We start from the raw sequence: 23,457 nt of genomic DNA, 5'->3' as shown, positions 1-23,457 counted from the left end.
ACGAAAAAATTGTCAACAAAATAGTAGCAAATTGGATTCAACAGCACATAAAAGGATCATGCACCATGATCAAGTGAGATTTACCCTTGGGGTGCAAAGGTGGTTCAGCATACACAAATCAATAAATGTGATACACCATATTAACAGAATGAAGGGCAAAAACCATCATCTCAATATAGAAAAAAAATTTGATAAAATTCAACATCCTTTCATGATTAAAACTCTCAACAGAAGAAATGTACCTCAACACAATAAAGGCCACATATGACAAGGCTACAGCTAACATCATACTCAGTAGTGAAAAGCTGAGAGTTTTTCTTCTAAGCTCAGGAATAAGGCAAGGACGTCACTCCTGATACTTCTGTTCAACATAGTGCTAGAAGTTCTAGCCAGAGCAATTAGGCAAGCAAAAGATACAAAAGGCATCTAAATAGGAAAGGACGATGTGAAATTGCCTCTATTGGCTGGCAATCTGGTCTTAGAGAAAATCCTAAAGACTGCCAAAAATTGTTAGAACTGATAAACAAATTTTTCAAAGTTTCAAGATACAAAATCAACATAGAAAAATCAGTAGTGTTTCTATACACTAACAACAAATTTTCTAAAAAAGCAATCAAGAGGGCCGGGAGCAGTGGCTAATGCCTGTAATCCCAGCACTTTGAGAGGTCAAGGTGGGCAGATCACAAGGTCAAGAGTTCGAGACCAGCCTGGGCAACATGGTGAAACCCCATCTCTACTAAAAATACAAAAATTAGCCTGGCATAGTGGTGGTGCATGGCTGTAATCCCAGCTACTCGGGAGGCTGAGGCAGGAGAATTGCTTGAACCCGGGAGGCGGGGGTTGCAGTGAGCGGAGATCGTGCCACTGCACTCCAGCCTGGGCGACAGAGCAAGACTCTGCCTCGGTGGGGGGGCAGTGAGGGAGGGAAGCAATTAAGAAAATCCCGGCTCTCTGCTCCTCCCATTCCACAGACAGCTGCATCTTCTCGTGTAGCGCCAGCTGCATCCCTGAGACATCATGGTGAAGGTGAAGCCTGGAGTCAATGGATTAGGCTGTATTGGGTGCGTGGTCACCAGGGCTGCTTTTAACTCTGGTAAAGTGGATATTGTCGCCATCAATGATGCCTTCAATGACCTCAACTACATGGTCTACATGTTCCAGTATGATTTCACCCATGGCGAATTCCATGGCACTGTCAAAGCTGAGAACAGGAAGCTTGTCATCAATAGAGATCCCATCACCATCTTCCAGGAGCTAGATTCCACCAGAATCAAATGGGGTGATGCTGGCACTGGGTATGTTGTGAAGTCCACTGACATCTTCATCATGGAGAAGGCTGGGGCTCATTTGCAGGGGGAGCCAAAGGGGTCATCATCTCTGCCCCCTCTGCTGATGCCCCCATGTTCATGATGGGCTTGAACCATGAGAAGTAGGACAACAGCCCCAAGATAGTCAGCAATGCTTCCTGTGCCATCAACTGCTTAGCACCCCAGGCCAAGATCATCCATGACAACTTTGGTACTGTGGAGGGACTCGTGACCACAGTCCACACCATCACTGCCACCCAGAAAACTGTGGATGGCCCCTCCAGGAAACTGTGTCATAACAGCCGCAGGGCTCTCCAGAACATCATCCTTGCCTCTACCGGCACTGCCAAGCCTGTGGGCAAGGTCATCCCTGAGCTGAATGGGAAGCTCACTGGCATGGCCTTCTGAGTCCCCACTGACAATGTGTTGGCCAGGAACCTGACCTGCTGTCTGGAAAAACCTGCCACATATGATGACATCAAGAAGGTGGTGAAGCAGCATCAGAGGGCCCCCTCAAGGGCATCCTGGCCTACACTGAGCACCAGGCTGTCTCCTCCGACTTCAACAGTGACACCCACTCCTCCACCTTTGATACTGGGGCTGGCATTGCCCTCAATGACCACTTTGTCAAGCTTATTTCCTGTTATGACAATGAATTTGGCTACAGCAACAGGGTGGTGGACTTCATGGCCCACATGGCCTCCAAGGAGTAAGACCCCCAGACCACCAGCCCCAGTGACAGCATGAGAGGAAGAGAGAGGCCCTCACTGCTGGGGAGTTTCTGCTGCACTCAGTCCCCCATTGCACTGAGAATCTCCCCTCTTCACAATTTCCATGCAGATCCTCTGAAGAGGGAGGGGCCTAGGGAGCCCCATCTTGTCACGTACTATCAATAAAGTCCCCTGTGCTCAGGAAAAAAAAAAAATCCCATTTACAATAGCATTGAAAAGAAAAGTTCATTTCTGCTCCTGTTGTCAGCAGCTGTGGCTCTGCTCTGCATGTCTTCTTGTTCCAGGATCCAGCTGTAAAGCAGACCCATCCTGGACACACCGTTTTGTGGCCGAGGGAGAAGAGGGCCCGCAGACCCACGTGGTGCTTCTTCAAGCCACTGCTCACCAGGTGGCACAGGTCACTTCTGCTTACACCCTATTAGCCAAAGCAAGGCCCCTGTCCAGGCCTGAGGGAGTGGGGAGAGGACCTACGCCTCTCCCATAGGCCACAAAGGGAGGGTAAGGGATAACTGGGGACAAGAATAGGATTTGCCACACTCCTTGTTTTTAAATGTTAGCAACTGAATTGAAAGTATCATAAATGCTGGGCAGAGCCAACTAAAACACAAGAAACCATGAGCCATGGATGTACAACCTCTAATTTAAAAAGTCAGAAATGGAGTGAAAGCCTTGTTCTCTTCCTTGAGACACACACACTACCTCAGTCTCCTGAGTTTAACAGTCCTCTCAAAAAGGAAAAGTGGTTACTTTGCCTTTAACATTATGGGTGAATCTATACTAGTTCCTAGTGTAACCCAGCACCCCTGTTTTTCTAGAGGTGATTTAATTGTTTTTTTCCTTCTCTCTCTCTTCTTTTCTCATCTCCCTGGCCCCCTTAGCCCTTCAGAAATGCAAATATAACCATTCTCCTCCCCATCACCTGGCTTTCCCTACAGGGCAAGTTTTTCTAACTGTGTGCTCCAAGACGGATCTCTCCTTGAGAGCTGGCAGTCGATTTGCAGACCAAAGCACACCCACCAAGGAATTTTCACATCCAGAGGTTGCCTCGGAACTTCCATCTTCCCAGGGTTGCCTCAGGACTTTCATCCACCAGGAGGGGAAATCGAAAGCACACCCGCTTGGCCACTTTTTCAACTTACTTCTGCCCAGGAAGCGCCAACTCATCATCAAGCTAGGAGGGAGACCCCCTGCCCTTGCTCATTTCCTCCCTTACCTTATAAAAATCCCTGCTTTCTGCTCCCAAAGTGAAGCAGCACATTTTAAGGCAGGACCCTTTGTGCCCCTTCCCCAAGCTAACTTTGGAATCAATTTGCTTTTTTTTCTATCAGACCTTGCTCTTGTTAACTGGACTCCACATACAGCGAGCAACTAACCTGCATTTTAGTTACACTGGTAATCACTACTTCCTTTTGTAGGTGCTCATAAATTCTCTTTAAACAATTTATTCATAAATATGACCAGAATCTAGGTCATTTGCCGTTCTGTAATCTCCAGAACTCAACTTCTATTTCTTGCACTTAGGACATTTGCCTGGGTCCAGTGCTATGGCACCATTTTTGCTCACTACAGTCCCACAAAGATTATTGATAGAACTGAGCAATGCATTTGCAAGATCTCTTAGCACCCAAGGGTAAAATGTTTTTGGGCCAAGAAACTTGACACCACTTCCAATTGCATGAAGCTCTTTTACACTCCCTTAACTACTTTTTTATCCTGGACCCTATCATTGTCTTTAAGAACCATATGGGTAGAATCTGGAAGAAACTGCCATTCAAACCAGCATTACTTTTTGTTCAGAAAGAAGATGGTGAATTACTCAGGGTTGTCCAGAGGGACAGAACAAATAGGATACATATATATAAGATACATATACATTTGTATATATACACATATATATACATGTATCCTATTGGTTCTGTCCCTCTGGAGAACCCTGAGTAATTGTATATGTGTGTGTATATATGTATGTGAGTTTATTAGGGAGAATTGGCTCACACAATTACAAAGGCAAAGTCCCACAATAGGGCTTGCAAGCTGGAGAATCAGAAAAACCAGTAGCTTGTCTCAGTCCAAGACCTAAGCCTCAAAACCAGGAAAGCTGACAGTGCAGCTCCCAGTCTGAGACTGAAGGGCTGACAGCACCCCAGAGGTCACTGGTACAAGTCCCAGAGTCCAAAAGCCGAAGAACCTGGAGTCAGATGCCCAAAGGCAGAAGGAGAAAAGGAGGCCTGCTCTAGAAGGGAGAGAGAAAGAGAAAGCCCCAGCAAGCTGCATATGCCCCTTCTGCCTGCTTTCTTCTGCCTGCTTTCTTCTGCCTGCTTTTTTCTGCCTGCTTTGTTCTGCTGTGCTGGCAGCCAACCAGACAGTGCCCATCCACAGTGAGGGCGGGTCTTCCTCTCCCACTCCACTTACTCATATGTCAGTCTTCTCTAGAAACACCCTCACAGACACACCCAGAAAAAGTGCTTCACCAACCATCTAGGCATCCCTCAAGCCCATCAAGTTGACACCTAATATTAACCATTACAGAATTCATCTGAACAGTCAGCCCTTGGGTCACACTTCATGGGTATTTTTGTTACACACATATGCCTGGAACAAGTGCCCAGTGTGCTCTTTGGAACAATTATAAAGTCATCATTATTCTGGATGATGATTTTAGGTTTGGATGATAAATGTTTTGTTTTGGTTGTGTATGTTTTTGGATATGGTCAAGCCTGAGCTAAGTCTCTATAATTTTCTTGCTTTCCAGGAAGGAGTGAAATATTTCTTAACTCGGTAGGAATGTAGTGAATTACAGTGTTTGCTTATCCTTGCAGAGTGGAGAGTGTTTTTTGCCAGAGCAATTGTTTGCAATACCAGCCAGCCCAGAGGACTACAGAAGGACATTCAGGCAGAATATTCACCTCTCCCTAGAAGACAGCCTATAAAAGAGAACTAAGTGTGTTCAATGGACAGTTTCTGCCCTTCAAGTGGCATTATTGAAGTATAATGACCCCAAAGCCCTTGAGACTATTGTGTTCTGATGGGGCTGTTGTACTGGGTGCCACAGGATGAGATCATAGGCCTGGAGTGAGGGCTGGGTTTCCTGGGAGAATAGATGTCCCATCATTGGTCACCAGGGAGGAGCAGGTGTTGGGCAGAAATAAGTGCAGGGAGGCAGCTTGAGAATCCCTTCCCCTTTCTGGGTCTTGGGTGGGGTGGGGCTGGGATTCTAGGCAGAGCAGACCTGATTTGAGGGCACTTGCACTGTGTGCAGTTGTGCTGGCTCATGCCACATGACAGGATAGGAGCCCTGTAGGAAGACAGTGCAGCTTTGTCCAACAGAGTGTGGCCAAGCTGTGCACCCAAGGGCTGCCCTTGCTGGGAGAAAGGCACGCCTTCTTCTTGACACAAAGGTACCACCTACTAACCGAACCCTTACCTGACAAGGACCTGCCCACCAAGTGGGATCTCTGTCTTCTAATGTATCTGCCTGCCTTGCAGGTGGGGAGAGGGGACACATTTTTCTATTTTTTTCAGCCTGGTGAAGCTTTTTCTGCCCACAAAGACATCTTCTGCATGCCAAGCCATCAGCCTGCTTAAGGTGGGTACATTTTCATCACCGGGCATTTCTAAATCTGAGTCTGAGGATCCTGAAATTCACAACATCTTTTAATTGTTGTTAGTTATTATCCGCCTTGTTCTTTCTTTCTTTAGCTTTTTAAAAATTAAAATAGCGACAGCATCTCGCTATGTTGCCCAGGCTGGTCTCGAACTCCCAGGCTCGAGCAGTCCAGTCATCCTGGTCTCCCAAGTGTTGGGATTACAGGCATGAGCCACCTTGTCCAGCCCTTTCTTTCACTTTTGAATGTTTATTATACACTTGTTAAAGAGTCAGAGATTTACTGAGCTCCTACTGCCTACCAAACCTGTTTTAGACCTTGGGGTTACATAAGTGGGGGTGTGGGTGGGGTACAAAAATTCCTGCACTTGTGCAGCTTGTGTATTAGAGAGAGGATTGTGCTCTGGGGACTCAGGGAATGCTGTGTCCTGTGCTTAGGATGGAAAGCAAAGGGAAGTCCGGCATCCCTCATCCCAGGTGCTGGCAGCAGCAGAGCTGGCTAGCTATGCCCTGCAAAGGGTCCGTATCCTGAGTGTCATTAGCATCAGGGGATGATTTGGGGTAGTGAACAAGCATTTGCAGCTCCGCACCCAGAGAGAATCTCAGAAATATCTGAGGAACCCTTTGCGAGGGCTAAATTCTGGTGGGGTATTTAATGGGTGTGTGAAGTCTGCTCAGAGCAATTTTATGTGGCTTTGTTTCCCTCTAATCAGCACTAATTCTGCCCTTTCCAGTCTGAAGATGGGTCTTCTTGACTGAGAACCAGGATGTAAAGTACAATTTGAGGAGTTCTGCCTGTGTTGTTTTGTTTTGTTTTGAGACAGAGTCTCGCTCTGTTGCCCAGGCTGGAGTGCAGTGGTGCAATGTTGGCTCACTGCAACCTCCTCCTCCTGAATTTAAGCGATTCTCCCGCCTCAGCCTCCTGAGTAGCTGGGACTACAGGCATGCATCAGCACACCTGGCTAATTTTTTTTTATTTTTAGTAGAGACAGGATTTCTCTGTGTTGGCCAGGCTGGTCTCCTGACCTCAGGTGATCCACCTGCCTCAGCCTCCCAACATTCTGGGATTACAGGTATGAGCCACCGCACACAGCCTGAATTCTGCCTTCTTGCTATCATCTGTTAACAAAATACAATTAGCCCCAATTAGCCTCCCTTTTCTCTTGAGCTGTCTTCTCATTGAGAGTCTCTTTTCTGAATACTTCTGAACTCTGCTTTCCGAATGGGTTCTGCCTGAGCCCCGGATACCACCAACTTTGCAAAAACTGGCTCCTCTTAGGGTCCCTATCACTTCCACTTCTGCAGAGCACTTAGGTACAGGGTAGCAGTCCCTCTCATTTCTTTCTTTAAACTATGAAAGATGAAATTGTCAGCATGAGGAGAATTTATCAGACACCCAGGGTCTAGAAGAAGGAGATTCCCAGCTATCCCCACTCGATCTTGCCTCCGTGCCAGCGTTGTCAAATGTGTTGTCAGAAGGCCTGCTCATGCCTTTGAGCCCCGAGGGCAGAGCCACCTGCTTGTGGACAAGCAGGAAGAAAAGCCACAGCTCAGCAGCAGACAGCCATCTGGTGAAATTCCATGCGCAACTTTGTGTCTGCTGGCTCCTGCCCCTCCGTCCATCCACCCCAGCAGACCCCTTCTGGTTTCTAGCCTCTGTTCCTAGGTCCTCCTCTACCTGTGTCTGCCCACTTTTACAACTCTCTTTCTAGATTTGACTCACCTGTGTCACCTGGTTTCTGCTCTTTGATTGACCTTGAACCCATATTTGTCTACTCTTGAGTCAATCCATTTTGCTTCCAGTCCCTGAGCCCAGATGTGCCCACTCCTGGAACTGCCTACCAGGGTCAGCCAGTTGCTGCTGCCTGACTCTTGGCTTTCTATGTCTCCAGGCCCTGATTTTCCCTGCTAGTGAGCTGCATGTGGCTCTCTGCCCCAACCCAGCATGTGGACTGTGATTCTCAGGAGCGTGGCTTCCAGGCCTTAAATCTGGCTGCACAACCTCTTGTGCAGACCACAGTCCCCCTTCCCTCTCTCTCCTTACCTTCTCCATTACTCTCTCTACTAATGGTTTGTGGGTTTTCATGCAGGAGCTCTCATGATGGTCTCCTCCACTCCATTCCCTCCTAGCTCTGTCTTTTGAGAAAGGAATGCTGTTCCATTGCTGCCATCCCAGCTGCCTGGGCTCAGAGAACCAGCACAGGCACAAGGGCTTTCCTGAGCTATGATCTCAAGGTCACTTGTATCAGTGCCTATACTCTGTTGCCTGTGGTGCAGACATCCAAGACTGCAAAGTTTTATTCTCCCTGGTTTATTTTATTTCCTGTGAATTACTGGAGATTTCCTCCATTCTTCTTGTGGTTTCTATTTCTTTTCTTTTATCAGGCTCTATAATTTTGCTGCTGTAGCCAGTGCGTTGTTTTGTACATTCTCGGTTTTAAAAAAATGATGGAAATTCAATTCCAATAAGCGCCAATGGTAGAGAGGATTTGTGGGCTCCTGTAACCAAAACAAGAAGGGCAGAAACAGGGTTGGACATCAGTGGCCACTAGAACCAGAAGCTGGAGGCTCTCGGGACACGCTCTCCTCACCCTTTTTTCCTGCGTGCTGCAGGCAGCTCTATGCTCTCTGGCTGGCTTTCCTCTCAGGCTGGAGGCATGGATGCCAGCAGTTCCCATCTCACATGTTTCCAGTTTTGCATCCAACAGGGCAGGACTTGCTTCTTGGTTCAAAACACCTTTGAAAGCACCTGGTTAGGCCAAGTACGGTGGCTCATGCCTGCAATCCCAGCACTTTGGGAGGGCAAGGAGGGTGGATCACCTGAGGTGGGGAGTTCGAGACCAGCCTGACCAACATGGAGAAACCCTGTCTCTACTAAAAAGACAAAATTAGCCAGGCGTGATGGCACATGCGTGTAATCCCAGCTACTCGGGAGGCTGAGGCAGGAGAATCGCTTGAACCTGGGAGGCAGAGGTTGCAGTGAGCTGAGATTGCACCATTGCACTCCAGCCTGGGCAACAAGAGCAAAACTCCATTTCAAAGAAAAAAAAAAGCACTTGGTTAATATCTTGGAATATTAGGTCATCTTACAGTCCAAGGGAAAATGAGAGAAGCCCTTACAGAGCCTCATCATTGGGGGGATGTTCCTAAGTGAAAGGATGTCAGTGCCAGAAAGAAGGAGTCTTGGCAGATGATAAATGTCCACTGCAGACCAAGATTAAATACATCCTGGCTCTGACCATCTCTCATCTCTTTCCCTCTAAGTGCTCTTCCCCAAGTTAGGAGAAATCTTCTTTTCCAGAAGTCTTCCTGTTTGACAACTTGGTTATGGAGAATGTGACCCCAGTACACAAAGATTTCTGTGGGTAAAATGTGGAAGGAATATATATTGACAACAATGGTGGTGAAAAGAGAGAGGGAGAGGAGGATCAGAGTACACTGTAGTTTTCACATGCCGCTCAGCAAATCTAGACCAAGTCTCTAGCAACATTTTCATTGACATAAGCTAACTCAAGCACATCTTTGGGCTTTCATTATAACTGTGAGTGGATACCTGTTATAGAGACAGGCGGTTAGCGCTAGAGCAATGGTTTTCAGAGTTTCAGATGCAGCAGAACAGTCTTTATTTATCACAAAGAAAATAGCATGAACTTTAATATGTAGAACAGATCAGACCAGTTATACTGTAATTGAAGTTTCCCTTCTGCTACCCTCCACAGGAACCTGAGCTCCACAGGACTCAATGAAAAAGCAACTGTAACAGAAGAGATAGGTAAGTTATGTTCTCTGTTTACTTTGTTTATGTCTGAATTTACTTTGAAACGCTTCAGCACTGGCAGTGTGATTTGCTGTATATGTTATTTAGATGTAATCTGCACCCAAGGGATGATAACTTACTGTAATTGGGAATGCATACTCCAGGGATGGTTAGCTAATATTTACCAAAGCAGCAGACAACAGAGAAAATGAGAGCCAAGTGAAAGGAGAAATCCCTTATAAAATCATCAGATCTTGTCAGACTTATTTACCACCATGAGAACAGTATGGGGGAAATCACCGCCATGATTCAATTATCTCCCCCCAGGTCCCTCCTACAACATGTGGGAATTATGGGAGCTGCAATTCAAGATGAGATTTGGGTAGAGACATAGCCAAAACGTATCACCTGATAACAAGGTTAAGAAGGGGAAGAGGCAACATCCTCACCTGCTCAAGGTTGGATCCAACTTTTGTGGGGCCTGAGGCTTACATACCTTCAGGGTCTTCTTTGGAAAAGAAATATTAAAAATTATAAATACAAAATTATCTATGAAAATGAATGTTTATACAGAATGAGAAAAAATGACTTCAAATTTTTTTTTTTTGAGATGGAGTCTCTGTTGCCCAGGCTGGAGTGCAATGGCATGATCTCAGCTCACTGCAACCTCCACCTCCAGGGTTCAAGATATTCTCCTGCCTCAGCCTCCCTAGTAGCTGTGATTACAGGCATGCACCACCATGCCTGGGTAATTTTTGTATTTTTAGTAGAGACGGGGTTTCACCATGTTGGCAGCTGGTCTTGAACTCCTGACCTCAGGTGATCCACCCGCCTCGCCCTCCCAAAGTGCTGGGATTACAGGCGTGAGCCACTGTGCCTGGCCGATGACTTCAAATTTTAAAAAGTTTACAAATACCACAAAAATCCCCCAAATAACACAGTATTTCTATTAACTAATGGTTGATATGGCTGTGTAATATATTTTCTTATGTTTTTTGCTGCTTCCTCTTCGATGGCCTCTTCATGTCACCAGCATGTTGTAATACTTTCTATAGAGAGAATAAAATAATTTGGTGCTTCCTCTAACTTGGTTGATCAAAATTTTTCCCATGTTAATTTTTAAGATTCATAAAACATGCAACTTCAATAGACAAGTTCACTCTTTGTAGTTCTTCCACAAGGTTGTGCACTATAAACAGAAAAATTCTGATGAATTTAGTTTTGCATAATATCTTCACAAAAGAAAACATCATGGAGTGTTTATAATTGTATACACTGCATATAGAGCACACTCCTGACAGAATGTCCTTTACTAGAAATGGATGAGAACAGAATCCTCCACTTAGAATTGTTTATGTCTTAATGGAAAGACACTTCCAGAGATTAGTTTCTGGCTTTGCACAATTAAAACCTTGTTTCTTCCCCACTCCCTGTAAGGATCCAGTGCTGGGTGCCACAGCATAGGTTCATGTTCATAGGTACTCTGGTTCTGTATCTTCCTGTTATATCACTTGGTAAGTTTGCCCCGTGGGTGGTAAGAATATTCCTGCACAGGACAGCTAGGAATAAGTTAACTATACATGGAAATGTCTGCAAACCACATAAATACCTCCCACTAAACCTCAGCTAAATGTATCACCAACTCAACTTTCCTTGACTAGATCCCCAAAATGCTTACAGTCACTCCCCACCACCTGAAAGGGGAGACTGGCTGAAAGAAATTCATAATGGAAAGAGAGAGTGCCTTATTCCATTGTGGTTCAAATCTGTCCCTTGCAAAATTTATAAAACCATCTACCATATAAACAGATGGCTGGGGACTCTCCCAGGGCCTTGGAAGTGGTCCATCGCATGAGAGCTCTGATATTTAGCTTCATTTGTTTCATAATACAATGCCTCTCCACCAAACTATAGAGGGTCACCAATATTTACCTTGGGAACAGCCAGTTGAATTAGGTGGGTTTGCAACAAAGGGAATAAACGGAAGACAGGCTTTTTCTATTTATAAGCTTCTGCTTATAATCATCAGCAAAACAGTCACACATAAAATGACTGCCAAAAACTTAACAAAACTACATGGCCAAAAGTGCAATTTAATGTAGTAGAAATGAAATACAAATTACAACAAAGGGCGGGTGAATAAAGAGGGTGGATGGATTAATCATAGGAGGTTTTCTGGAAAAGATGAGTTTGAAATAGCTTTTGTAAGGAGTGAGGCATAGAAAGAAAGGAGAAAATGCATTTGAGGAAGGCCTGAAAGGTCTAAATACACTGAAGAACATCAAATTGTATATAGGGATCAGCTGAAAATTGACTGGAAAGGTGTGTTCATGAAAAACAGCATAAAATTAAATTTTAATAAGACTGTTTATGGTCAGAACGAAGTAACTAGCGCACATCTAGTCCACCAAGTGTCAGCAACTAGAAAACTACACAAAAATATTAATATCTGAAATAGTTATTTTCAGTTATTGAACAATAGGCATTTCAGGCGTGAGATCTCAGAGAGATGAGAAACAAGTGAGGTGAGCCCTGCCATAGCCCTAGCCTTTTATTTCAATGCATTTTCTGGACCAGTTGCAGGAAAGGGGAATTCAATCAGAGTATGGCAGTCTCATTGACTCAAAAAGTCAGAGACTGGAGTTCAGGAAGGCTGAGGCAGCTGGATGGAACTTGTGAGACAGAGTAGCAGAGTGAAAGAGCAACACAGAATAAGTTCCAGAAATCTGCAGAGGATCCTCTTGAATCTTTGGCTAAATAATAAGATGTATATGTTTAAAGTGAAACTCCATAAACCCTGGGAAATAATAAATGATTAAGGAAAGATAAATTATGGGGAACTATAAACTGAGCAACTACCAGAGCTTGCACAGGATTGGGAGATACTTGAGATCAGGCCAGCCAGAAGGGAAAGACCTCATTGGGTACTTGATGCATTCAGGTGAAATCCCAGAAACAGTATGTCTTACTAGTAGGGCTAAACTAGTCCTAGAGCAAAGGATACTCTAGACTCTTTCTAAAAAAGCCTCAAAGGGATAAAGCTGATCTGAAATTAATTTATTGCAAGAACAAAAATCAATAAGTTTTAAAGAAACACAAGAAAATTTAGGCAAACAATGGAATATTCACAATTGCCAGTATCCAGTCAAAATTATTAGACATGCCATAAGCAAGAAGTGTAACCCATAATGAAAGGGAAAATCAGACAATAGAAGCAGATCTAGAAATGACAAAGATGGAATTAGCAAACAAGGGCTTTAAAACAATGATTATAAATTTGTTCAAGCAATTAAGGGAAAACAGGAACATAATAAATAAGTAAATGGAAATCATTAAAAGAAACAGGCCAGGCACGGTGACTCACACCTGTAATCCCAGAACTTTGGAAGGTTGAGGCAGGTGGATCACCTAAGATCAGGTGTTCAAGGCCAGCCTGGCCAACATGGTAAAACCCGTCTCTACTAAAAACAGAAAAAATTAGCTGGGTGTGGTGGCAGGCCCCTGTAATCCCAGCTACTTGGGAGGCTGAGGCAGGAGAATCGCTGGAACCTGGGAGGCAGAGGTTGCAGTGAGCTGAGATTGCGCCATTGCACTCCAACCTGGGCAGTAACAGTGAAACTCCATCTCAAAAAAAAAAAAAAAAAAAAAAGAAAAAGAAACAAATCAGCCATCTAAAGCTAAAAAATACCCCAATATCTAAAATAAAAAGCCCACTAGGCAGATTTAAAAGCAGATTCTACATTATAGAAGAAAAAAATTAATAAAAGACACATTATATAAACCCTAGAGCAAACTATTAAAAAGGTTATAGCTAATAAGACAATAGTGAAAATAAAATGAAAAAATAAACTTTTTAACTCAAAAGAAGGGAGAGAGAAAGGAAAACAAAACAAAGAAAAAAATGAAACCAATAAGTCAATAGTTAACTGATTTAACACAGCCATATCAAGAATTGTATTAGGTAAAAATGGACCAAAATCATCTATTAAAAGGTATTATTATACTTGGTAGAAAAGTATAGTAGGACCAAAATCATCTATTAAGAGATACTATTATACTTGGTAGAAAAGCAACATCCAACTATATGTTTTCTACAAGGCTTAGTTTTTTAATACAAAGATACATACAGGTAAAAGTTAAAGAACAGAAGATATACCTGGCAAATATTAATTATAAAGCTAGAGTGGCCACTTTGAAATCTGACAAAGTAGACTTCATAAGAAATATTTCCAGGCTGGGCGCGGTGGCTCACGCCTGTAATCCCAGCACTTTGGGAGGCCGAGGTGGGCAGATCAGGAGGTCAGGAGATTGAGACCATCCTGGCTAACACGGTGAAACCCCGTCTCTACTAAAAATACAAAAAATTAGCTGGGCATGGTGGTGGGTGCCTGTAGTCCCAGCTACTCGGGAGGCTGAGGCAGGAGAATGGCGTGAACCCGGGAGGCAGAGCTTGCAGTGAGCTGAGATCGCGCCACTGCACTCCAGCCTGGGCGACAAAGCAAGACTCCATCTCAAAAAAAAAAAAAAAAAAAAAAAAAAGAAATACTTCCAGATTAAAGGGAAATATTTCATCATGAAAAAAGGGTCAATTGATCAAGAATACTTACAATATTCAATGTATGAGCACCTAACAACAAAGTTTGAACATACACAAAGAAAAAACTGGCAGAACTGAAAGAAAAAACACACAAATACAAAAGTATAGTTTGAGATTTTTAATAACCCCCTCTCAGTAGTTGATAGAACAAAATTTAAAACAAGAAAGTAAAAACTATCTTCTGATTTTTGTAGTCCCTCCCCAACCAAACTCCCAATACTATGCCAGTCATCAATTCCAAGCTAATGTTTGATGAATGAAAAAAATCCTCAAAATAAGCTTTGTTTTCCATTAAAGAGAAAACAACCCCTAAAAATAAAAAATAAACTTCTACTAGCAAGATGGATAAAGAAAGAAAAAGCAAAAACACAAAAATAAATATTAATAATAAAAGAAGGGACATCATTATAAGTCTTATAGACATTAAAAAATAAAAAGGGGATATTATGAACCACTTATGCCAACAAATTAAAAAGTTTAGTTGAAATGGATAATTCCTTTGAAAACATGAATAACTCAAATTGACACTAGAAGAAATAGAAAATTTCAACAATTCTATGTTAAGCCTAAATAAATTGGATTTATAACTTAAAATCTTCTGACAAAGTGGACTCTGGGCCTAGATAGATTAAATAATGAATTCTATCAAACATTTAAAAAGGAAATAATACCAATCTTAAGCAAAATCTTTCAGAAAATAGAGGGGGAAGAAATACTTCCCAACTCATTTTATGAAGTCACCATTATTCTAATAACAAAACCAGACAAAGACATTAAAAGAAAATTATAGTCTAATTCCTTATGAACATAGCATAGATAAAAAATTCTTAACAAACTATTAGCAACTAGAATCCAGAAATACAATTAAAATGATAATACATCATGACTGAATGGAGTTTATTCCAGGCATGCAAGGTTATTTAACATTTGAAAATCAATCATTGTCATTCATCACATTAATAGAATAAAAAAGAAAAATCCTATGATCATTTACAACAATGCAGAAAAATCATCTGATGAAATTCAGTGCCTTGTTATGATTTTTAAAACTCAGTAAACTAGGAATAAAAGACAACCATCTTAACCTAATAAAGGAATCAATGAGAAACCTGAGCAAATACTGTAAATTAATATTGGAAGACTCAACATTTTCCCATTGATATTGAGATCCAGGCAAGAATGTTTGTTTTTTCTCTTCTATTCAACATTAATATTGGTGTCCCACCAGTAAAATAAGACCAAAAAAAAAAAAAAATCTTACAGATTAGAAAAACAGAAGTTAAACTTTTTTTATTCACATAGTACACAATTTTCTTTTCTTTTCTTTTTTCTTTTCTTCTTTTAGTTAATAGAGATGAGGTCTTGCTGTGTTGCCCAGGTTGGTCTCAAACTCATGGCCTCAAGCAGTCCTCCCACCTCAGCCTACCAAAGAGCTAAGATTACAAGCATGAGCCACCATGCCCAGCCATGTACATAATTTTCTATCTAGAAAATACAAGTCTACCCTGAATGGCTACTACATTAATAAGTGAATTTAGTAAGGTTGTAGAATACAAAGTCAACATAAAAAATAAATTGTATTTCTGTATACAAGCAACAAATAAGTGAGACATTAAAATGTAAAACATCATTTACAATAGCATCAGAAATAGATAATATTTTGGAATTAATTTAACTAAGCATGTATAGGACCTATGCTAAAAACTACAAAAAAACTACTGAAAGAAATTAAAGACATTTAAAAAATGGAGACACATAACTGTTTGTGAATTGGAAAACTCAATATTGTTATGCTGTCCATTCTCATCACATTGATATATAGATTATATGCAACCCCAATCAAAATCCCAGCAGGCATTTTTTCTTTAAGCAATTGTAATACTGAACCTAAAATTTGTAAGAAATTAAAATAGCCTATGTTAGCCAAAACAATTTTGAAAAAGAAGTTCAAAACTGAAGGACTTAATTTGATTTCAAGACTTACTTTAAAGCTACAGTAATCAAGAAGTATTGCCTCTGGCTGCTTCCTCATTATGATGGTAGAGTTGAGTAGTTGTAACAGGAACCATATGGCCCAGAAGGCCTAAAATCCTATCTGGCCTTTCACAGAAAGAGTTTGCTGACCTCTGTGATACATGATGCTCATGTGTAAGACACTCCTATCTATAATTCCTGGCCTACCTGGTATTATTCCACCACTTTCTCTGTTACTCATTATAGCATATTAAAGTGCAGATGAGGGAAAATAATTTTAGAAATAATATTTAATCCCTTCTAATTTATTTAAAATCAAAATTGTTCATAGATTTTGGCACTTTATGGTTAATAATATGTTATTTGCAATATCCCTTACAACTGTATACAAAGCCATAGTGGAAAACCAGTCCTACCAGGATGAAGATAATTACACATTAAATTTGTATTCTATGTAAATATGTATATGAGGCATTATAAGCATTATTTGACCCATTTTTTAAATGAGGAGGCTGACTGGCAAATGCATCTATTAGAGCCTGCAGAAAGTGAGGAAGGCATGGTTAGGAAAAACAGACCAATTGGACAGTGGAATTAATAGGTTCAAATTGGTGATAGATTGGACATAGGTAATGAAGACAAGAAAGTATTGGAAAAGTAATTTTGAGAGTTGTTGTGAATCTGGGTTTTTAGACAGGGTTGCCATTGACCTGGTAGGAAAATTGTGAAAAAACATTTATTTCGCCACTGAGAGCAGGTTGATTATGAGTTCCATTTCTAATTGCTTAAAGTGGTGCTTTCCAAATTAATGGATTTACAAAGTACCTGGTCATCTTGTTAGAATGCAGATTCTGATTCAGTAGTTTTGTGACAAGGCCCAAGATTCTGCATTTCCAATAAGCTTCCAGGTGATTCTGATGTGACTGGTTCAGGAACCACACTTTTTTAGAAAGGCATTAAATGTGACTAAAGGAAATCCAAGTGTAGATTTCTTCTGGAAGGTAAGAGGAGGGTCCTGACAGGGAATACTGTTTATGCAGTTGGAAAGAACCTATTTGTCTTCTCTAGAGGCAAGATACATAACTAAGGGCCTGTAATCTTGAGGAGATTCTCAGTGCAGAGAAGAGAAGGATCCAGAACAATCAAGGAGACAGAATAAGAGCTATCAGAAAACTAGAAGAACCAGGAGCATTTAGCATCATTAAGGAATCCTATGGAATATTGAATTTCAAGGAGTCAATCAATGAATTCCAACATGCAACTCATTCATCACACAATCTTTCCTGGCCCCCTTTCTTTGCCTCCTTTGGTCTTTTTTCCAGCGCTCTCTAGAATGTAGTAGATGCTTACTGGACTGTCTGTCCAAAGCTTCCCCACTCCTTTTTTTTTTTTTAGGAAAGCCTCCCATCATCAATATGACTACCATAAGAGCTGCCATGTTTTTATGTGACTCTCTGTCCTCTTCCTACAGTTGATTGGTCCAGGCATGGACACCTGATCCCAGCTCAACCAATCATAAATTTCTTCTCTGGGATTATTCAAACTAGGATTCTACAGAGACAAAAGTTGTCAGGTGCAAAACAGTCTTTATAATAGGAAAAGTCGTTTGGCACAAAATCTACTAGTCCTAATATGCAGCCATGTTAGGAGCCAATAGAGAGAAAAAGTAAAGACAGGTGATGGAAGACAGTCCTAGAAGTGTTCCAGTTTTTGTTCCAACTGTTCCCAAGCCCAATTACTTTCGTTCCTTTCCCATGATTTGGTTATTCAATGTTCCCTTCAGTGACCCAGAAAACTCCCCCTGTTGCCTAAGTGAGTTTGAGTCACTTGCAACAGAATCCTGACTAATACATGGCAAACTTTATCCCCACTCATTTTGTCTTATACACCATCTTCCTTTGGGCCCCTGCACCCTGTTGACTGCAGCTTTCCCAGGTTTTTCCTCAGAATGACACCAGGCCAAAACCAGCTGCTGGGCAAGGACCATAAACCCCACTGTCGGTCTTGGTGGATGTTAATGTGTCACTGAACACCAATGTACCAAATCGATGTATTCATGGCAACAGCCGAAAAGAGCCCACAAAAGTCTAATCTTTGGCACACTGGGGGCTTCACTGGCAGATTGTTAAGACCCTGGGGGCAAAACTTAATTTGCATAAGTATTTGCAATGCACAATTTCCTTTTTATTCATTTACACTAAATTAAATTCATTTTGGAATCCCCAAAGTTATTGCTGTTGACTTCTCTCCCCTTACTTTATGTTCTAGGTATATTTCCCCAAAACTGAAAGCCATTTTCATCTCTTGTTTTCTGGATGCCTCAGATCCCAAGTGAGGTTTTATCCCTCCACAGTTCTTTAAGATTAGCAAATTAAATTAACTCCTTAACTGCTGGGAAATTTAAAAAACAAAAAAACTGCTGTTTTGCAAAAATGCAAATATTATTAGAACGCCCTACTCTCTTCCCTACCCCCAACACACACACACACACACACACACACACACACACACACACACACTGGCACGCACACAGGCCTGGCTGCGCTCGAGAAGCCCACTTCCACCACCCCTTCTGCAGACAGAAATGCTGGCATTCGTAAGCTGTCACACTGAGGAAGACAGCAGCTGTGTTATTCCATGATTTATAGAACAGATTTGCATTTCCTTGCCTTTGAAGCTTGCCTATAATCTGACACATAAATATTTGAAAGACAGGATGGTGGAAACAGACCTAAGCAGCTTAATCGAACACTCGGCAGGTAGAGGACTTGGGCTGGTGTTCATTTCAAACACCCCCTTGCCCTGAGGCCTCTTGGTGTGTGTGTACAAAATTGAAATTCGGTGTTCAAACCCAAACCTACAGTCACAATTCCACTTGAAGGAAAAGTCAGAAGAATGCCCCTCTGAAAGCAGGTTTTGTTTCGTCTGGTCTCCTGAGGCAAAAGCCCAGTAGTCTTCCTTAAATTCTGCTCCAGGAAGCAGGAAGCAGGGAGTATAAGTGTCTCAACCACTCCAGAAGCCCCAAGTGTGCTCATGCAGGGACAGGAGCTCTGCCCTGCCTCACAGAGGCCCTGAGGCCACAGAGAGGCACTTTCACCAGTGAGGAGGCACATTCCTGTCCTGGAGACCAGTCATAGCTCTGGCTGCCCCAGAGAACCAGGATTCCCTGGAAGGGGATCAGGCAAGCCTTCGATTTTCCATGCATCCACCTTCATGCAGCTTTTCCCAAAATATCGTACGGAGAACACTTTTTGAAGTTCATGTTAAATGGCCACAGTCACACTGCTTTTTTTTTTTTTTTTTTGAGACAGAGTCTCGCTCTGTCACCCAGGCTGGAGTGCAGTGGGGCGATCTCAGCTCACTGCAAGCTCCGCCTCCCGGGTTCATGCCATTCTCCTGCCTCAGCCTCCTGAGTAGCTGGGACTACAGGCACCTGCTACCACGCCCAGCTAATTTTTTGTATTTTTTTTTTTTAGTAGAGACAGGGTTTCACCGTGTTAGCAAGGATGGTTTCGATCTCCTGACTTCGTGATCCGCCCCGCTCAGCCTCCCAAAATGCTGGGATTACAAGCATGAGCCACCACACCCGGCCAACAGTCACAGTGCTTTTTTAGCCCATTATAAGCTGTAAGTCCTGCAGGAAAAATAACAGTCTAAGTTGATTTAATCTGATTATTTAAATGAAAAATACGCACTTTCATTTTCACAGTAGTTCTATTAATATACTATTGGAGAATTAAAAAAAAGAAAATTGGCCAGGCATGGTGGCTCATGCCTGTAATCCCAGCACTTTGGGAGGCTGAAGTGGGCAGATCACCTGAGGTCGGAAGTTTGAAACCAGCCTGACCAACATGGAGAAACCCATCTCTACTAAGAATACAAAATTAGCTGGGCGTGGTGGCAGGCACCTGTAATCCCAGCTACTCGGGAGGCTGAGGCAGTAGAATTGCTTGAACCCGGGAGGCAGAGGTTGTGGTGAGCCGAGATTGCGCCATCGCCCTCCAGTCTGGGCAAAAGGAGCAAAACTCCATCTCACAAAAAAAAAGGAAAATTATGCCCTAGTCTGATTCAATAAATATGTGTTGATCCCGCATATGTGCTCAAGGAGGCTAGCCACAAAGGTGTCTTCACACTCAAGACAGCCCAAGAATGCCACTCATGGCCTAGGTGTCTTATCAGAAGTTCTACAAGGTAGAGGGTGGGCAGGGGAACAGAAAGAAGAGGCTCTTGAATGTAAAGGACCTTTTATAAAATTCAAAAGGGACAAGGGCAGAAGGCACATTGAATGGAGACCCAGACTGAAAGTCAGGAAACAGGGTCAGTCTAGCTCTGCCATGAGGTGCATGTTCTTGGTCCAACCACTTCACCTCTCTGGGCCTCTGTTTTCTCATCTGCAAAATGAAGCAGTTGACCTAATAGCCTCCAAAGTTTCTTTCATGCTGATATTCTATAGCAGGCTGGGGCTAAATTTAGATTTAGATTTGTCCAAATGATGGAATGACCTCTTTTCCCATCACTTCCCAGATGTCTACCTGGATTCTGGAGCTCCAGGAAAGAACCCCCCTGTGTTCACAATGGCGGTCCCTGGTGCCTGCAGAACTTAGGACAGGGAATTGGGGAGGTGGGGTGGTTAGGGACAAAACCCAAATATGGACTCCTTAAGAGAAATTTCAACCTTAAAAAGAAAGGAATCTGTCCCAGGCAGCAGCACAGTTGCAATTCAGAGGAAGCTGCGGTTCCGAGTGTAGGGTGGTGGACTCTACTGTAATCAGCCCACCCTAATCAGCCACCCTGAAGTCAAGCAGACATCTGGGGTGTCTCACCAATCTCCCAGCCCCTAGAATGCCAAACAACCCTGCTCTGAGGCCCTGTAATATTATCACATGGGGGTCAGGGAGCTACTCTCCTTCAATACTTCCAAGCAAACTGCCTAGAGCCAAAAGTCCAGGAAGACTAAGCACTTTGCAGATTTGAGTGAGAAATCCCCAGGGACTTCCATAGAAACTGGGAGTCTCAGAAATACCTACCAGGTTGGTTTCCTGAGGCAGTGAGCCAGGGAAGGAGGACTGATGGTGATGTTGCCTCATTTGGATACTCCATGAGCCTACGCAAGTTTCACAAAAGCTTCAAAGGAAAACAAAATATCAAATGAATCCAGTAACAACATTCTGGGGAAAAGGCTACCTGGAAGAGGGACAAAAAGGGATGAGTTTCCAGAGGAAGCCTAGGGAGGATGCCTGATGTCACTGCTGACAGAGGAAGCAGGAGGACTCAGCGCTCTCTGGACTGACCAGGCTGTGATGGGTGTGGCAGGCCAGAACTGGACAGGATCATTAAAACCCTCGGAGAGGTTTTCACTGCAAGAAAGAAGAGCTACCAGGCCTGGAGGGGAATAAGATTGGGGACCCAGGCTGCCAGTGAACTTATGCCCACCCAGAAACTCAGCCGCAGAAAAGTGGTAGGGATTATTACACCAAACTGAGAATTACAGTCTCTGCCTCCTCAGCCCCTGGCAGAGCTGCCACACATGGCAGCAGCACTGTCCTGCCTCCAGGTGAAATAGGAGCCACTGGGATCACCCACCACGCTGCAGGAGCTATGAGGCGTACAGGAGCATGGGGAAGGGATATCAACACACATAAACAAAGTAGTTCCATCCTTGCCTTATGTCTGTCTTTTTTATACCTCCGTAGATGTGGCCAACAAAATTGCTCCATAAATTGGACACTGCCCAAAGAAGTCTTTAACGCCATTCCTGGGTTCTTTGTCAAAACCATGGTGGCTTTTCCTGTCTTCACAGAGCTAAGCCCATTGTTTTGTGGTCCCTGCAGCTGTACCTCTGACCTGGGTGGAGCTGCATGTCTAGGCAGGAGAGGCTTGGGAAGCTAGAGTTGTTGCTGGTGATCTGTTTTCAGCTTGGGGCAGGAGCCAGGCTGGGTGCCAGAAGCAACTTTTGATTAGTCATTAGGCACAGACTTTGCTTCAGCCACACAGCCACCTCATTCCTGCCTCAGGGCCTTTGCACTTGCTGTTGGCTCTGCTTGGAGTCCTCTCTCTTGATCTGCACTGGACTTGTTGCTCCCTACTTCATCAAATGTTACCTTCTCAGAGGACCTTCCATGTCCGCCTCCAGTGCAGGCCCTGTTCACACTCTGTCCACTGCTCTGCTGATTTCCTTATGATAGTTACGGCACTCTACAAGGATCTTGTTTATTTGTTTACATGGCCACCGTCTCTTTCCCTACGGGAACGTCTGGAACCTTAGCTCCACCAGGGTCATCTGAAGGCTCCCAGGGTGACCCACACAGACCAGACCCCAGCCTGCACCCCAGGAGGCTCCTGCTCCCCACATACACAGAGCTCACCTCAGCCTTACCTCGCAGATGAGGAAGACTTTGGTGCCCACACAAATGCCCATGTGTGCCACGGCCCAGACAGCAGTGTTCATGCCTGCGAGAGGTCAGGGCAAGCCTATCAGTCCCATGCTGAGATGCGAGGCCCTGGACGCCTCCCCACCTCAGAGGGTGAAGGGGGGAGGCCTGGACACCCTCTCCATCTCAAAGGGCAGGGGGTGAGGGGAAGGTCTGGCAGGGGAGGGATCTTGTCTCTCATGTTCACTACTGTCCACAACCTCCAGCACAATGCTGGGTATATGATAGATAATATCTGTTGAATGAATAAATGAATAAATGCACACAGCAGCAAGCTGTGTGGCTGCTTATCCAATATAACTGTATCCCTGCGCTTCTCCCTTCCTAACATAACTTCAGTCTGCTTGGCAACATGTCCTATTCATGACCACGTGTTTGCCCTAAGCTGTTCATAGTATTCCCTCTTTCCCTGTGCTAATAACTGATTTTTCAAAAGGACCCATGACTTAGTTCTGACCAAAACCATGAGCAGAAGTCTACTAGGTAGGGCCGGGGGTTCTAAAAGAGGTTTTCCCCTTTGTAAAAAGAGAAGCAGGCACTGTCATATTATCTGGATTAGATCTGCTTAGTACAGCTGTGCCTCACTTCTCACTCTGAGGAGAGTTACCGTGAGGAAAAGTGCAACCCGATGAAGATAGCTAGGGTGCGAGCTGGAAGAAACTGGGTCTTCTATGACATTACTGAAGAACTAAATTAACCATCTCTGGAGCTTGCATACCTCTGGATTTCTTGTTATGGAGCATAATAAATTTTCCTATTATTAAGCCATTGTGAGTTGCATCTTTTGTTACTTACAGCCAAAGGCATTTGAACGATAGAGACTATGGCATACACTGTCCCTTAGTCCTGGTGGCTGCCACTGGCCTGTAGAATAGAGCCACGGCTTTTATCCACCAGATATACTGTAGGTAAACATGAATTAATGAATTAGTTTTTTCTTTACTTCATTCATACACCCAACAAACTTCATTGAAAACTTATGTGTGCGGGCACTGCACTAGGAGGAGAGATCAGAAAGGCAAGCTGCCAACCCCGAAGAAGCTCAGAGTCCAGTGG

General features: G+C 43.4%; 2 long non-coding RNA genes and 1 pseudogene across 2 annotated transcripts; 2 read left to right on the top strand and 1 right to left on the bottom strand.

Moving 5' to 3' along the window:
• Window positions 947-2,218, top strand: GAPDHP64 (glyceraldehyde-3-phosphate dehydrogenase pseudogene 64; annotated as a pseudogene).
• LOC105378926 (uncharacterized) lies at window positions 5,364-9,445 on the top strand. The gene is made up of 3 exons (XR_947741.3): window positions 5,364-5,436; window positions 5,561-5,624; window positions 9,362-9,445. It is a non-coding gene; the product is annotated as an uncharacterized LOC105378926 (long non-coding RNA).
• On the bottom strand, window positions 9,250-21,741 carry LINC02868 (long intergenic non-protein coding RNA 2868). The gene is made up of 4 exons (NR_149353.1): window positions 21,656-21,741; window positions 20,998-21,094; window positions 9,849-9,904; window positions 9,250-9,396 (listed from the first exon to the last, which is right to left on the bottom strand). It is a non-coding gene; the product is annotated as a long intergenic non-protein coding RNA 2868 (long non-coding RNA).
• Between the last annotated feature and the right edge of the window lie 1,716 nt (window positions 21,742-23,457).

This window comes from Homo sapiens, chromosome 1, assembly GCF_000001405.40.
Source record: "Homo sapiens chromosome 1, GRCh38.p14 Primary Assembly".
NCBI classification, from domain to species: domain Eukaryota; kingdom Metazoa; phylum Chordata; class Mammalia; order Primates; family Hominidae; genus Homo; species Homo sapiens.
This window is presented reverse-complemented; position numbering and strand designations above follow the sequence as displayed.